Genomic DNA, 16,092 nt, shown 5'->3' with positions numbered 1-16,092 from the left:
AGTAGCTGGGATTACAGGCATCCACCACCACACCCAGCTAATTTTTGTATTTTTAGTAGAGACAGGGTTTCACCACATTGGCAAGGCTGGTCTTGAACTCCTGACCTCAGGTGATCTGCCCGCCTTGGCCTCGCAAAGTGCTGGGATTACAGGCATGAGCCATCACGCCTAGCCATGTTTAAATTTTTTTGTAGCGATGGGGTCTCATTATTTTGCCCAGGCTGGTCTCAAACCCCAGGACTCAAGCAATCTGCCTGCCTTGGCCTCCCAAAGCGCTGGGATTACAGGCATGAGCCATTGTGCCTGGCCAAATACATGTTTTTGAATGCATAAAGCTTTACTACTTAAAAAACTAATTTCAATTAGTTTCTAATACTAATTGATTTCTAATACTCATCAAAATAAGTACGTAACGATAAAACTAGGAGACCACCTAAATGGTCCCATCTGGGACTTTGGAAAGTACTGGATGAAAAAGTGGCAGGAGGGGCAGGCAGATGCCCAGGCCCTGGGAACGGCCTTACCTTGTGGGTGAGGGAGTGCTGCTTGAGGTGGTGAATCTGGCTGAACTCCATGCCGCATTCAGTGCACACGAAGGGTCGCACGTTCTGGTGCTTGAGCATGTGGTTCTGCAACTGGCTGCGGTAGTGGAAGGACTTGTCACACTCGAGGCACTGGTAGAGGGTGGGGCCCTGGTGGGAGGCCAGGTGGCGCTTGAGCTGGGTCAGGGTGGAGAAGTCCAGGCCGCACTCGACGCAGACATGGCAGCGGCCACTCTCATGCTTCACTTCGTGGGCCTTGAGCTCGCTGGGGTAGGCGAAGCCGCGGCCGCAGAAGTGGCAGCTGTAGGGCTTGACCTCCGAGTGCAGCAGCATGTGGCGCTTGAGGTGGCTGGTCTGCGTGAAGGCCTTGTGGCATACCTGGCACTTGTGGGGCCGGGTGCCCTGGTGCGTCAGCAGGTGCGTCTGCAGGTGGCTGGGCTGCTTGAAGAGCTTGCTGCAGTGTGGGCACGAGTGTGGCTTGATGCCGTTGTGGCCCAGGATGTGCGTCACCAGGTTGTACTTGGACGTGTAGGACTTCTCGCACATGCGGCACTGCCAGCGCTTCTGGCGGTCGCCCGCCTCCACCAGATAGGAGTCGTCAATCTGCACGTTGATGTCCAGCCGATCCAGCTGGGCCTTCTTGTGGCGTTCCACGGTCGAACCCGCCGTGTCAGCCTCGAACTCACTGGCCTCCTGCCACACGAAGCCCTGTTCCGGCTTGACAGGCTCCGGGGACTCCATGCTGGGGGCCTCGGGGTCACTCAGGGGGGCCAGGTGGGGTGGCTCGAACCCACACTCTGTGGGCAAGGCCTCTGGCCCAGGCAGCGCCATGCTGGGCTCGGGGAAGCCATCCCGGGCCGGGGCCGGGAAGTGAGGGTCATATGGGGCCACGTTCAGCTCCGGCCTCGGGGTTCGGGGCAGATGCCGGAGCGTCCGGGGCTTGCGGCTGAAGGCGCTGAGGTCGATCATCTTGACGGCGCTGCTCTGCACCAGGGCGTCGCAGCCGCCACTGGCCGCCTCGGCGGGGGCTTCTGCTGGCCCTGCGTCCTTGTCGTCACCTGGCACAGAAACCTCATAGACCTCCTGTTCCTCCTCCTCCACCTTCTCGAACTTGACCTTGGGCACCAACCGCACAGGTGGCCGCGTCTTCCGCCGGGTGTGCTTCTCACAGGCTGCCTCCACCTCCAGCACCTCCTCCTCCGCCGGCTCCTCCAAGGCCCTCCCGTTGCAGGCCAGCTGGTAGACGTCGGGGCCTGGTGGCTCGGGCTCTCCCATGGCTGCCCCTGAAAGCTCGGGCCCCAGGTCCGGGTAGAAGGCCTCGGCGCTTATGGTAGCTCCAAAGAGCTCATTTTCGGAGACCAGGCCAAGCACGGCGGCCTGAGCCAAGGACAGCACCACCACGGCGTCCGTCTGTGTCCCTGAGTCCATGAAGCCCTCCATCCCGTGACGGCTAGCTAGGAGGGCATCGCTGTGGGTGGAGAAGGGAAGGTTAATATTGCTGGCTCACTCCTGCACAGACAGACAACAGACACAGCACAGACAAGGGCTTGGCTGATTTTGGGTGTGTCTGGCTCTGATGTCTTTTCTACTCCTGGCCTTGGGAACAGGGCACACTTGTTATTATAGGGAGCAGTGATTCCTGCTGTGTATCTGACCATCTCCTCCATCTCCCTGGGAGATCCTGGGGTAAGCTCTGCCCCCTTGCTGGCCTCAGTCTTCCCATCTGTACAACAGGGAGGTGGGATTTCCTCAATTGTTCTCAAATTGTGTTCTACAGGTCCTTCAAGAATTCCTTAAAAAGACCGGGCATGGTGGCTCACATCTGTAATCCCAGCACTTTGGGAAGCCAAGATGGGCAGATCACCTGAGGTCAGCAGGAGTTTGAGACCAGCCTGGCCAACATGGTGAAATCCTGTCTCTACTAAAAATACAAAATTAGCTGGGCGTGGTGGCCGGCACCTGTAATCCCAGCTATAGGAGGCTGAGGCAGGAGAATCACTTGAACCTGGGAGGCGGAGGTTGCAGTGAGCCGAGATCGCGCCACTGCACTCCAGCCTGGGCAGCAAAGTGACACTCTGTCTCAAAAAAAAAAAAAAAAAAAAATCCTTAAAAATCGGATTCAAAAATGCAAAAAATAAAGATTCCACTATTTAAAAACTGATTTTAAAAGGCCCACCTACTCAAATGTAATATGTGCCACATTCTAACACATTCTACTGTAGCCCCACTGGCTTTGTTGCCAAAGTAATTAATTTGCACAGACCTTGGGACTGTGCGGTGAGGTGTTAACTGTCATTATTGGTAATGGCTCGGCTGTATGAACGAGAACGTATGGCAGAAACACAATATAAAAAAATAAACTAGGTGCTGAGGCCAATCTCAAACACTGGCTGTCACTTGTCAGCCCCGACGATAAACATCTGCATCTATCACAAGCAGTTGTTGTTTTTCTTGATTAGCTAAATGTTATACATTTAAATATCTAAATTTATACTGATAAAAATATCACTTTTATCTGATTTTATACGTTGGAGTTCCATGTCCGATCTGATTTGAAAGAAGAGCTCCTTGACAGCTAACATGTTTGAGGCCACTATCCGAATTGAATGCTCAAACAGGCTCCCAAGTTCACATTCACAATCTCTCAACTAACGTTTTTTTCTTTCTTTTTGATTAGAGATGGGGTCTTGCTCTGTTGCCCAGGCTACTGTGACACAATCATGGCTCACTCCTGTCTCAACCTCCAGCACTGAAGTGATCCTTCTGCCTCAGCCCCCCGAAATGCTAGGATTATAGACATGAGCCACTGTACCTGCCTCTAACATGATCTTCTAAATAGTGCCAATGTGCCCACGTGCCCAGGTACAAACCCCCAGCACAGCGGCCTCTTCCCTCGCTGGGGGCTCCAGCCACATATGGAGGCACCTGCTCCGTGAGCCGTCTGTGGAGCCCGGTCTTTTCACCCATGGGTCTTCCCACCTGGGGCAGCCTTTTCCCAACCCTGCTGACCCCTGCTCCTCCCACCAGCCTCCGAGGCGTGGCTCGAGGTCCACCTGCTCCTGGAGCCATCCCGGCTCTCCTGGCCTGCCCTCGTGCCCTCTCCAGGCTTCCAAGGACTGCAGCACGCCAGGCAGTGGCGACCTCCTCCTGGGCCTATACCCCTTGCCCTGGTTCAACACCTGGCACATCTGAGGAGAGGGGATGGCATTACTGGGGCGACTCTCGCCTGCTTTGCTCCCAGGGCTCCCAACGGACCAACTACCAGCCTCTCCCAGGGCCACGGTCAGGCACACGGTCGGCGGCCCTTCCTCAGGAAACCGGCTCCGGGCAAGGCGTCCCCCTCCCCCCAGCGCCCAGCGGAGCTTCCCCTTCCTGAGGACGGCTAAAAATACCCCAGACAGGAATTTAGCCTCCTTGAAACGGACACCAAAGATTAAACTATTAAGCTTAGAGTGAGGCTCTCGTGGAAGGGATCAGATAGAAGGAAACCTCGGCCTGGGGGGTCAGGGTGCATCTGGAATAGGCCGCAGGGGCTAAACGTGCTTCCAAACCACCACACCCCACCCCAATGTCCAGCTGCTGGGAAATGCAGTCAGCGAGGACCTCGAGTGCCAGCTCAGTCACTTGCAAGTGACTAAGCAAAGTCATGCCAGTGGCTCAGTTTCCCTATCTGAAAAACGGGGATGAAAACACTCACCCATGGAAGGGTTGTGAGGGCCCACGGTCCTAACACAGGTGAAGCAGCTTGGTTCATTATAAGGCCCTAACCAACTGTAAAGAATCACTGTTGGCAGGGGCATGGTGGCTCACACCTGTAATCCCAGCACTTTGTGAGGCTGAGGCGGGCAGATCACTTGAGGTCAGGAGTTCGAGACCAGCCTGGCCAACATGGTGAAACCTCATCTCTACTAAAAATACAAAAATTAGCCGGGCGTGGTGGTGGGTGCCTGTAATCCCAGCTGCTTGGGAGTCTGAGGCAGGAGAATCACTTGAACCCAGGAGGCGGAAGTTGCAGTGAGCAGAGATCGCACCATTGCATTCCAGCCTGGGTGTCACAGTGAGACTCTGTCTCAAAGGAAGAAAAAAAGAACCATTATTATCTGCCCAGATCTCTGGGAGAAGGCTTTTCTGAAAAAAGCCACAGAGCCAAGAGATGTTTCCATTCTTGGGCCCCAAATTCAGCAAAGCTTAAGTGATTCTGAGGACAACCACTAGAGAACTCATTCATTCATTTGTACAATAAATAGCCGCTAAATCCCTGCTATGGGTTAGGGCTTGTGCCTGGAGACAGCAAGGTGAATGAGGCAGGGGTCCTGCCCCTTGGGGCCCACCACAGCCACCCCCAGTGCCCTCCAGCCACTGTCAGTTTTGCAGAGCACGCTGAGGAGCATGGCTGCCTCCTGTCGCGACAGTCCGTCTGACACAGCACCCAGCGGCAACCCTCCTGTCTGTTGTGGGGTTTGGGCAAATGATGTGTTCAGCAGTTTTTGTAAACTTCCCCAAAGGCAGGACCAGCAAGAAGGAGGAACTGAGCATCAATGGCCAAGCCAGTGCTTCCCCCTTGGCCCTGGATGCTGAGTTCAATCCAGGCTCTGCCGTCTACTAGCCGTGTGACATCAGGTGATTCTCATCTCTATGGGGGGGAAGAGGCTCCTGACTCATGGGACAGTGAGATGAGGATGTCAGTGTCGTTAGTTCCCTTCCCTCTCCTTTCCCCTGCAGCCTAATACCAGGAATCAGCCCCCTCCCGCCAACCTCAAGGGCGCGGGCATAAGGAAACAGTTAACACTGCTTTAGAGGTGAGGAGAGGGCAAAAACGTCAGCCAGCGAACTGCCTGTGGGAGCTGAAGTGTGGTTCCCTACAGCAAGGGTAACCATGGAGCTGACCGTCCACACCGGGCCCCTTTCTACAAGGGGCCACTCCTTATAGTCACACCAGGACACCTGAAGCAAACCCCTTCCCATATGAACAGGTAGTTTGGACTTGAGAAGGTGCGTCTGTGTCAGGAGCCTGTGCTTGGCTGTAGAAAGGGACTAACCCAGAGTCCTTGTTCCTGAGGGTTTGTGCCTAAGTGGGGGCAGGGCAGGGGCACAGAGAGCTGCCAACAACTGACGACAAACACCACGGAAGACCTACAGCTTCTCATTACAGACACTCACGAGGTCCCCAGTCAGCCATTTAATACTAGGAACAACCCGGGGGGCAGGGGTGGGGTAGTGCGCTCCCCACCTCACGCCCCAGGAAATCCAGGCTTGAATAACACACTCCCAAGTGCCCCATCAATGAAGGGGGAGTTGGGTCTGCAGCCAGGCCCGTGTGGCCCCACAGCTGGGTCCCATCTGTGCTCCTGCAGCTATGCACCCGCGGAGGTCACACCCGAGCCTGGCTCCTCAGTTCTCAGGAGCTGTCCTGGGTCACCACAGGCCAGCAGGGGCACGTAGGCACGACCTGGGCAAACTGCAACATGAAGGCTCGGGCTGCTTCCTGGCTGGCTGGTCCAGGGCCCCAGCCGGCTGGGGGAACTGGGGTCTCTCCTTCTACTAGAAGTCTTCATTGAGCCACTGCCCACCTGGGCAGTTGGCCCCACGCTTTCTTTTACACTGGCCTGGAGACTTGGCTGAGTAGAACACACACCACCCTGTAATGCTCTCTTTGTGAGGCTTATGGGGGCAGGCCCCGTGTCCATGTTGTCTTGTTCACTGGGGCGGCCAGGCAGGCTGTGTGTGTGTGCGCGTGCGCGCGTGTGTGTATGCAGAAGGGGCTCTGCTGAGGAGGGAATCTAATTTACCTGCGTTTCGCATGTGTGTTCTGCCTGCCTATCGCACACGGAAATGAGGAGTGGGGAGGCCCGGTATCACTCTGTTCTCCCTCCTCCTGGGCCAGCATTGTGCCTCGTGTCTCCTCACCCGCTCTGTTCCATCTCCCAGGCTAAACCCTTCTGTTTATGTCCTGGCACAGGGCCATCCAGGGCAGGAAGAGAGCCTGCCAGGTGTGCGTCACCTGTGTGCCAGGGCTGCCTCCCCACCCAACCCAAGGCCCCTCTGTCATCCGCCTGGGGCCCCACTGGGGCCCCTCCCTTCTTAGAGCAGGGCCTCTCCCACCACTTGTGCTAAGGACTCAGAACAAAAGCTCCCCCCATGTCCAGGAGAAAGGGGAGCTCAGACTGCCCCAGGCTGGCAAGATGAGGGGCGACCACTGGCTGGGATGTGGCGTGGCCTCCCACCAGGATGCCCTCGGTCCCCAGGGTGGGGAGAAAGTCAATGTGAAAGGCGGGGAAATAGACACAGATGAGCTGCCTGATTGTAGTTGTGCTGGGAGTGGGGGAAGGGAGGACATATCAGAGAGAGAGAGAGAGAAAGGGAGAGGGAGAGAAGAAATGAAGAGACAGGGAAGGGGGGGCAGAGGAGGAGCCTGAGTGAGGGGGAGGGAGAGAGAATGAGGCTGTGGAGGCCAAGAAACAAAGGCGGGAGGGGGAGGGGCGTGCAGTGACACCGGAAGCCCAGGACTGCCCTATTTCCCAGGGCTCGGCACCTCCACCTCCCAGGCCTGAGGGCCAGGCCAGCCCCTGGGGAGGGAACAAAGACTCATCGTCTGGGGGCCAGCAGGGGACCTTCCCCACCCAAGCAGGGACGCCGTCTCCTCAGAGCTCTGGAATCTCTAACTGTGACTTCACCTACGGCTTTGCCCCATGGGTCCTGTAAAGGCTGGGCAAGTCGCCTGGCTCCTCCACCTGTCTCCATTTCCTGATCTGTAAAATGGGCACAAGAGCCTACTTGGAACGGGAACTATTGACCTACCTGCTGGTTACCAGGGTCCCTTCCCCAAGCTGTGACAGCACCTCCTCTCATCCCACACTGCTCACAACAGTGCTCCTTTCCTCTCATGGGGACCCCATCACTCTAGGAGCAGAGGAGGGTCGGGTGGGATCAGGGTGGCTGGTGTCCCTTGGGACACAGATCTCAGGGCAGAGAGTGGGTGAAGACACCCAAAACCTGGTCTCGCACGACAGGAGCCATTTTGAAGGAAGAACCAACAGGACCTTGTGGCCACCTGGACACTCTTTGACTAGTTCCCACCACCAGGGAGATCTCAAACACCAACTGAAGGGCGGGCGCGGAGGCTCACACCAGTAATCTCAGCACTTTGGGAGGCTGAGGCAGGCGGATCACTTGAGCTCAGGAGTTTGTGACCAGCCTGGGTAACGTGATGAGCTCTCATCTCTGCAAAAAAAAATGCAAAAATTAGCTAAGTGTGGTGGCATGCCTGTAGCCCCAGATATTTGGGAGGCTGAGGCAGGAGAATCGCTTGAGCCCAGGAGGCGAAGGTTGCAGTGAGCTGAGATCACGCCACTGCACTCTAGCCTGGGTGACAGGCGTGAAACCCTGTCTCAAAAAACAAAACAAAAAAAAGTATAGAAATAAAGAAAAAGCAAGCAAGCAAACAAACAAAAACAACCAATAGACAGAGGTCTGGGGCTTCTGCCAGGCCAGGCTTGGGACATCACCAACCACCCGTGATCAATGTAATTTGATGACTATTTCCTGAAGGTCCAGTGAGCCCATACTCCCTGACACAGCCTCAGCAGTGCCTCGAACTTATCCTGGAAGGCAGGCTTGCCTGTTGGCTCCTCATCTTGGCCTTGAATCACCAGGTTGCTCAGAGACTGCAGTCTCCAGCCCTGCAGCTGAACCTCTGACTTTTTATTTATTTATTTATTTTTTGAGACAGTGTCTTGCTCTGTTGCTCAGTCTGGAGTGCGGTGGAGCAATACTGGATCACTGCAACCTCTGCCTCCTGGGTTCAAGCAATTCTCCTGCCTCAGCCTCCAAAGTAGCTGGGATTACAGGCGCCCACCACCATGCTCGGCTAATTTTTTATATTTTTAATAGAGACAAGGTGTTCACCATGTTGGCCAGGCTGGTCTCGAACTCCTGACCTCAGGTGATCCACCTGCCTCGTCCTCCCAGAGTGCTGGGATTACAGGCGTGAGCTACTGCGCCCGGCCTGACTTTTTATTTTTTTAAGAGATGGGCCTTCCTCTATTGTCCAGGCTGGAGTGCAGTGGTGCCATCATAGCTCACTGCAGCCTCAAACTCCTGGGCTCAGGCAATCCTCCTGCCTCAGCCTCCCAAGTAGGTGGGACTAAAGGCATGTGCCACCACACCTGTCTAATTTTACATTGTTTTTGTAGAGGTGGAGTCTTGCTAAGTTGCCCAGGCTGGTCTTGAACTTCTGGGGTCAAGCGATCTTCTCACCTTGGCCTCCCAAAGTGCTGGGATGACAGGCCTAAGCCACTGTGCCAGGCTTGAGCCACTGATTTAATGCACATTTACTAAACCTATTAGGTGCTTGCTTGTGGGTAGATAGAAGGGGCAAATTAAAGTTCTCACCCTTGGGGAGTTGACTTGCGTAAGCTCAGTCCACATGAAGCACCCGGATCTCTGGGAGGCGGGGGCTGCAGTATGGGGGTGGGGTGGGGTGGGGACAGGGACTGAGGACTGGCTTCCGTGGAGGCAGTTCAGGACCCAACAGAGCAAGAGCGGGGAGGGGGCTCCTGACCCTGGGTCTGGCATTCAAGCCCTCCAGGATGTGGCTCTGGGCCTTTTGCCCCTTGGAGTCCAGGGCCCTGGGGCTGGAGAGGCTGAAGCTGGAGTGGGCGGGACAGGTAACCAGGTGGGAGGAGAAGAGGAAGTTCCAGGCCTGTACACCCGCTGTGAAAAACATGCACGGGATTTCACCGCCTAAGGAAACCAGCCTCTTGGTTTCCCCTGTTGTCCTCCTCGCAGGAGGCTTCAAGGGAAACTCTACTCACATGCGCAGAAGGGAAGAGGAAGCGAGAGCTGGAAGGCCTGTGCCTCGGGGCCCCTTGCCACAGTCTCACTTCTGCCCAGCCCACAGGCCTCAGGAGCCAGAGGCCCAGGGAGCTGCCGCCGGCACGGGGGAGGGGCAGGGGAAGTTCGAGAGTCTCTTCCTCCTGCGATCCTGTCTCTGCCTTGCTTCCCCTTTCTCTGTGGACAGATTCACTGAGCCCCACCTCTGGGAGTCAGAGTGGCTGGGCCCCTGACACAGGGCCACCAACCCACAAACCCCCGTGATGCGCACCATACCCGGCCCTGTTAACAGATGAGGAAACTGAGGCCCAGGGAGGGGAAGGGAATGGTCCAAGGTCACACAGTGAGACGGTGGGGGAGCAAGGGCTAGAATGCAGGTCTCCGGCCCCGCAGCCCCCACAGCCTTTTGGTAGGCGGGATGCACTGCCCATGCCTTCATTTGCTGCCCAAGATGGCTCCCAGGCAGGCTCCACTGCCCCTCTGCCCCCAACTCACCGATGTTTCCTACCTTGGGGCCTCTGCACAGGCTGATTCCCCTGCCAGGACTGCCCTTCCCTCGAACTGGGTGAATTTCCCATCATCTTTGAGGATTTAGTGCAAGCACTGCTTCCCTTGAAGTACATGAGGACAGGATGAGGACCCTCTCTCAGCCTGAGACCATCACTGTCGTGGTAAATCATATGCGTCATCTTGGCTAAGCTATGGTGCCCGGCTGTGTGCTTGGCTAAGCTAGATGTTGCTATGAAGGTATCCTGTAGATGTGACTCACATTTACAATCGGTTGACTTTAAGAAAAGCAGATGACCCTCCATAATGTGGGTGGGCATCAATCAGTTGAAGGCCTTAAGGGCAAACATTGAGGCTTCCCAGAGAAAGAATTCTGCCTTGAGACTGTAACTTATGAATCTTGCTGAGTTTCCAGCCCCCGGGTCTGCCCTGCAGATTTTGGACTTGCCAGCCCCCACAATCACAGGAGCCAATTCCTTAAAAGAGACCTCTCTGTGTACGTGTGTGTGTATATGTGTGTATATATATATATATATAAATATATAGTGTCTCCTACTGGTTCTATTTCTTACTCTAGAACCCTGACTGATACAATAATCACACTGTGGATCATCTCCCCTGACAGCCAGGCCACCCACAGGACAGTGACTGCAGAGGAACAGAGGGGGCCCAGCACGGGAGTGTCTCTAGAGAAAGACACCAGCGTACAGAAAAGGGAAGAGAAGGAAACTGACAGTCGCCAAGGGACCAAGACTGAATGCGGTAAGTGAGATGGAGAGTGAAACTCTTGCCTGAGAGTTCTACCAAGGCTTTGCTCTTCTCTGAGCACCTCACTCCCAGGACAGTCCTGCCTCCTCCTTGGGGTGGTGTCCAGGCAGCATAGGGAAGGGCCTCTCCAAATTAGTTAGCAAGAGCAGATGCACACTCTCAGTGACCTGACCTTGTCCGGTGAATCAAGCCAGAGGGCCCTCCCCACCCCAAGTGCCTTCTTCCTTGCCTTCCCCTGCTAATGGCAGAGTCCCCAGGAGCTCAGGCCCAGGAGCTCTGAGTGCTTTCTCACCTGACGCCCTCCCAGGTGAGAGAGCCCCTCCCACAGGGCCTGCTCTGACAACCCTCGCTCTCTTGATCCATTCCCCAGGCCCGGGTGCACCTACACCTGACCTGGGAGCCACGCCTCTGCTTCTATAAGCTGAGGGCTGAGGTGGGTCTGACTGCCACAGGGTGGCCCCTGTGTGAGGATCTCCCTCCTCTAAGAGGTCACAGTACCCTAAAACCCAAGGATATGAGGGGTGAAGCCCCCATGTCGAGGCATGAACTATTTTGATGTGACTTCTCAGACACAAACTCTTGTGAAGACAGAGACCCTGGGTCCACAGAGTTCCAGAACTGGTATCGTTTGATCAGAATGCCAATACCGGGGTCTCACTCTAGACCAGTTAAACCAGAATCTCTGGGTTCAGGGCCTGGACATGGGATTTTCTAGAGGCTTCTTAAGTGATTCTGATTCTCCAAATTATTATTATTATTATTATTATTATTATTATTATTTAGTCTTGCTCTGTAACCCAGGCTGGAGTGCAGTGGCATGATCTCAGCTCACTGCAACCTCCACCTTCTGGCTTCAAGCGATTCTCGTGCCTCAGCCACCCGAGTAGCTGGGACTACAGGAGCGCGCCACCACGCCTGGCTCATTTTTGGATTTTTTAGTAGACATGGTGTTTCACCGTGTTACCCAGGCTGGTCTCAAACTCCTGGGCTCAAGTGATCCACCCAGCTTGGCCTCCCGAAGTGCTGGGATTATAGGTGTGAGCCACCGTGCCCGGCCTCGAAGTTAATTAGCAAGAGTTGACGCATACTCTCGGTGACCTGGCCTTGCCTGGTGAATCAAGTGGGAGGCCCCTCCCCACCCCAGGTGCCTTCTTCCTCACCTTCGCCTAATGGCAGCTGCCCCACTTCCAGCCCTGGGCCTCCAAGCATAGCATACCCCCACCATCTAGGGCAGTTCATACAGAAGCTGGGCCCAGACCTATGGCCTGGCCCTCCCCATCCCCTGAAAGAACTTGGGCCAAAGTTTCCTCTCTTGGAAACATGGCTCTGCATTAAGCCTCAGTCCATCAGCCACAGGAGCAGATGTGCAAAGAACACACAAAGGAGCGCCATGGGGTAGAGTGAGGCCAGAACACAAAGGGGCAGAGAGCTTGGGCAAGTGGGGGTGGCGGGGTGGGTGTCTGAGGAGAGCCCAAGGGAATGCTGATCCCAGAAGGCACCGGGATTCTGGATGGTGCCCAGCCCCTGCCCCTAGCCTGGGGAACCCTCGCTGGCAATCAACCCCCCTTAGCCCTGAAGTGAGTTGGGTGGGCCTCTGGTTCTTATAGAAATGAGCCTGCCTAAACTAACAGGGCGTCTGCTGCACAAATTACTGTGGGCAAATGCTGAGCTGCCTGCAGAGCTGCATAAAAAGCACATGGTAGCTTCTCTTTGATGCTAAGTACAGGAGTAATGTGCCGCCTATGATCTGAAGACACCAGGATCCCAGAAGCCATGGGCCTGATCCTCCCACCTCGCAGCTCACATGCCCAGTAAACGCATGCGTGCTTCTTTACTGCAAGGGAGGGATGCTTGGCTCTCCCATGGCAGGATGGTGGCCTTGCTGAAGACCCTGTGCTTCAGCCACTTTGGCTGTGGGTCTTGGAATCTTCACCGGCAGGGCTGAAAGGAACTTTGGGGACCCTCCTGTCCAATGCCATCATTTTACAGATATGGAAACCAAGACCCCAAGGCCCCTACCCCTCAGTCAGGACTAATCTGGAGCTCTTTTTTTTTTGAGACGGAGTTTCGCTCTTGTTGCCTAGGCTGGAGTGCAATGGTATGATCTCGGCTCACCGCAACCTCCGCCTTCTGGATTCAATTGATTCTCCTGCCTCAGCCTCCTGAGTAGCTGGGATTACAGGCATGCGCCACCACGGCCTGGCTAATTTTTTTTGTATCTTTAGTAGAGACGGGGTTTCTCCATGTTGGTCAGGCTGGTCTTGAACTTCCGACCTCAGGTGATCCACCCGCCTCGGCCTCCCAAAGTGCTGGGATTACAGGTGTGAACCACTGCATCTGGCCTTTTTTTTTTTTAAGATGGAGTCTTGCTCTGTTGCCCAGGCTGGAATGTAGTGGTGTGATCTTGGCCCACTGCAACCTCCACCTCCTGGTTCAAGCGATTCTCCTGCCTCAGCCTCCCAGATAGCTAGGATTACAGGTGTGCACCACTATGCCTGGCTAATTTTTGTATTTTTTTAGTAGAGACGGGGTTTCACCATGTTTCCCAGGCTGGTCTTGAACTCCTGACCTCAGGTGATCCACCTGCCTCGGCCTCCCAAAGTGCTGGGATTACAGGCGTGGGCCACCGTGCCTGTGGAGCTCTTGACTCCTTGTGTTTCCTTCTATCCATGTCAAACATGGGGGTCACCCCCCAGCTCAGGCTCTCCCACCAGACTGTTTGCCTTCTACCGTCTGGGGACCATGAAGGTGTGCACAGGAGATTGTACGGGGCAAGGAATTTCCACCATTCAACCCACCTGCAGGAAATGTTTTGAGCTCTCAAGAGTTCTGCCACGCAGCTGTCCCTTGCCCTAGCATGCTAATAGTCAGTCAAAAGAGAGAAGACTGAAGCAAGCCTTATGCTTGTACCAATCGGTCACGACATCCCACCTGCTCCACATCCCAGTCACCTCCCATTGCTCTTGCAATCAAGCCCAAACATCTCACCAAGGGCCTCCAGAACTTGTCTGGTTGGTCCCTGCCTCCATGACAAGTCCACAACGTGCTGCTGTCCCCTCCCTCCATGTGAAGCCACGTGGACTTCATCGATGTTCTTTAATAGACCTCACCTGCACACGGCCTCTTCACACATGCTTTCCCCTACCTGGAATGCTCTTCCTCATTCCTCTCCCTTCAGCTTTCAGCCCAGGTAACACTTCCTCAGGAAGCTTGCCCGGACCCCCTGCCCCACCCTGACCAGGTCTAGACCCCAGGTCCTGTGCAATCTCAAATTTCATACTTTTCCTTCCTGGACCTTATTGTAACTTTAAATGATTTGTTAATGATTTATTTATTTATAGAATTACTTGCCTAATAGCTACCATCCCAGTTAGATTCTGGCATCCCAGTTAGATTACATTCTCCAAGGGCAGAGACCTTGCCTGTTTGCTCACCACTGCATCCCTAGCAGAGTACACAGATAGAATAAATTGTTGCCCTTTCGAGAATACCCATATTCAAGGGCAAAGAAAAAAGAGGCCCCTTGCCGAGACCAGCTTTGGACAGCAGCCAGATAGACCCTGCCCGCCTCTTTTCCCTGAGCTTTATGGCCAGTTCCTGTTCCGAGGGGGAGGGGCAGCAGGCCTCATGTTTCCAGAGGGCTCCATATCTTTCCTCCAAGTCCAGAAGCAAAGAAGCACATCTGTCCCCCAAACAAGTACACTATCCTGGACCCAGAGATCACCAGCTTCGTGTAACGGGAAAAGCAGACAAAACTTCAGCTCACAAGTTCAAGGGGACAAAGATAAGAATCAAAGGAAGTAACAATAGGACCATTCACTGCGCTTGAACTTCATCAGGGCCTGGGATGAAAGCACACCATTTCTAGCCATCGGGGCAGTCCTCTGGGATGGGGGGTACCATTTCCATTATACAGACGTGGAAACTGAGGCAGTCCCCTGCAGGCAGGATAGAGCAGGCCCCAGCTGGGTGGGCCCAGGGCCGAGACCCAGCCCTCTCCACCTCAGCTCTCAGGGATGGGCTTTCTGGGTCTTGTCTTCCTCCCCTGCCAACCTGTTTTCCCACACCGGGGCCTAATTCACACCTGGGAGCCCCTCATGGCTTCCCTTCCTCCTCACCAAGACTCGCCTCAGACCCCTCCTGCACCAAGCCCTCCGCCTTCTCCATCCCATCTTCCTCTCCCTCCATTCCTCCCCTCCTTCGGTTTCCGTGGCAACCCCATCCTCCGCTCTGCCACTCGGTCCTGCCTTCCCATCTCATCTCTTTCTTCCCTCTTTCATCTCTCCCCTCATCGCAGTGTACAGTCCAAATCCCCCTCTGTCCTTTGCCTCTGCTCTCTCGCTCCCTTTTACTCTCCTTTTATCTCCTTCAATGTTCTCTTGTCATCTCAGGGTGACATTTATTTATCTTTTGCTTAAAAATAAAAAAGAAAAGAAGGAAGAAAGGAGGGAAAAAGAAACCCCATTCCATCAGCCAGGGCTTCTCCAGATCAGTCCCGGCCTTCTCTCTCTCGGGTCATCTCTAAGGGTCAGACTCCCCACAGTGGCCAGGAGGGAGGAGACAAACCCCAGAACGGACCCCTGCCTGCCACAGGGAAGCTTCTCTATTGACCTCACCTAGGGAAGGGAGGAGGAAAACACACGGGTGGGAAGTGTGTGTTGGGGGGGCTCCCTGGGAGGAGGCATCCCAGAGAGCCTGGCCCTGCTTCTCTGAGGTCAGGGTAGGGGAGAAGCCGGCACCCACATCAGGATGAAGCAAGGGCAGGACCTAGAGCAGGGGGTAAGCCAGTGCAGAAATCCCCCATGACCAGCTCCAGGCAGGAATTCACTGCTGACTGGCGCAGGGGCTCACACCCATAATCCCAGCACTTTGGGAGGCCAAGGAGGGAGGATCATTTGAGCTCAGGAGTTCGAGACCACCCTGGGCAACATTGTGAAACCCCATTTCTACAAAATATTAACAGGCCATGATGGCACGTGCCTGTAGTACCAGCTACTTGGGGGGCTGAGTGGGAGGATGGCTTGAGTCTGGGAGGTCGAGGTTGCAGTGAGCCGTGATCACACCACTGTACTCCAGCCCGGGTGACAGAGTGAGACCGTGTCTCAAAAGAAAAAAAAAAAAAGGAATTCACTGCTGTCCAGGGAAACCCAACCATTCACCACCCCATGCTGCCTCTTCAGGCCCTACCTTGCCTTGTGTGAATGAGACACAGGGCCTGGCCCCAGGCTGAGGCACCCAGCAAATGCTCAGGGTGCCCAGCTCCCTCACTCCAAACAGGATGGTGAGATTCACCAATTCCCCAAAATACACTCTTCTATGTTTCTAAATTGCCTCTGAGTAAAGAAAGCAAAATTCATGGGCTTTCCCACCCATGTGTCTGTGCCCCGAGTTTAAGGCAGAATGAAAGGTTGCCACCTCTTTCTAATTTCTTTTCAGCCATCAT

The 16,092-nt window shown here is 54.8% G+C and overlaps 1 protein-coding gene across 12 annotated transcripts in view, besides 6 other annotated features; it reads right to left on the bottom strand.

Annotated features, from left to right (window-relative positions):
* Window positions 1-16,092, bottom strand: part of ZNF710 (zinc finger protein 710) — an 83,885-nt gene that overhangs the window by 13,072 nt on the left and 54,721 nt on the right. For 11 of the 12 annotated variants that reach the window (XM_047432486.1, XM_011521543.4, XM_047432483.1 and 8 more), the window contains exon 2: window positions 525-2,010. In XM_047432486.1, the coding sequence (XP_047288442.1) occupies window positions 525-2,010 (1,486 nt within the window). Of the gene's footprint in view, window positions 1-524; window positions 2,011-3,412; window positions 3,832-16,092 lie in introns of those variants that run through there. The other variant, XM_047432485.1, reaches the window with a different exon arrangement.
* Window positions 5,171-5,230: a silencer, noted in NCBI's record as "silent region_6809". NCBI's record gives its function as "represses an Ori minimal core promoter by ATAC-STARR-seq in GM12878 lymphoblastoid cells {active_cell/tissue: GM12878}" and the evidence as "EXISTENCE:reporter gene assay evidence [ECO:0000049][PMID:35858748]".
* Window positions 9,321-9,370: an enhancer, noted in NCBI's record as "active region_10062". NCBI's record gives its function as "activates an Ori minimal core promoter by ATAC-STARR-seq in GM12878 lymphoblastoid cells {active_cell/tissue: GM12878}" and the evidence as "EXISTENCE:reporter gene assay evidence [ECO:0000049][PMID:35858748]".
* Window positions 9,381-9,440: an enhancer, noted in NCBI's record as "active region_10061". NCBI's record gives its function as "activates an Ori minimal core promoter by ATAC-STARR-seq in GM12878 lymphoblastoid cells {active_cell/tissue: GM12878}" and the evidence as "EXISTENCE:reporter gene assay evidence [ECO:0000049][PMID:35858748]".
* Window positions 9,506-10,217: an enhancer, noted in NCBI's record as "NANOG-H3K27ac-H3K4me1 hESC enhancer chr15:90602135-90602846 (GRCh37/hg19 assembly coordinates)". NCBI's record gives its function as "activates a minimal SCP1, AML or CMV promoter by ChIP-STARR-seq in primed H9 embryonic stem cells {active_cell/tissue: H9 hESC(primed)}" and the evidence as "EXISTENCE:reporter gene assay evidence [ECO:0000049][PMID:30033119]".
* Window positions 9,561-9,680: an enhancer, noted in NCBI's record as "active region_10060". NCBI's record gives its function as "activates an Ori minimal core promoter by ATAC-STARR-seq in GM12878 lymphoblastoid cells {active_cell/tissue: GM12878}" and the evidence as "EXISTENCE:reporter gene assay evidence [ECO:0000049][PMID:35858748]".
* Window positions 14,098-14,981: an enhancer, noted in NCBI's record as "H3K4me1 hESC enhancer chr15:90597371-90598254 (GRCh37/hg19 assembly coordinates)". NCBI's record gives its function as "activates a minimal SCP1, AML or CMV promoter by ChIP-STARR-seq in naive H9 embryonic stem cells {active_cell/tissue: H9 hESC(naive)}" and the evidence as "EXISTENCE:reporter gene assay evidence [ECO:0000049][PMID:30033119]".

Source organism: Homo sapiens, chromosome 15 (assembly GCF_000001405.40).
Source record: "Homo sapiens chromosome 15, GRCh38.p14 Primary Assembly".
NCBI classification, from domain to species: Eukaryota; Metazoa; Chordata; class Mammalia; order Primates; family Hominidae; genus Homo; species Homo sapiens.
This window is presented reverse-complemented; position numbering and strand designations above follow the sequence as displayed.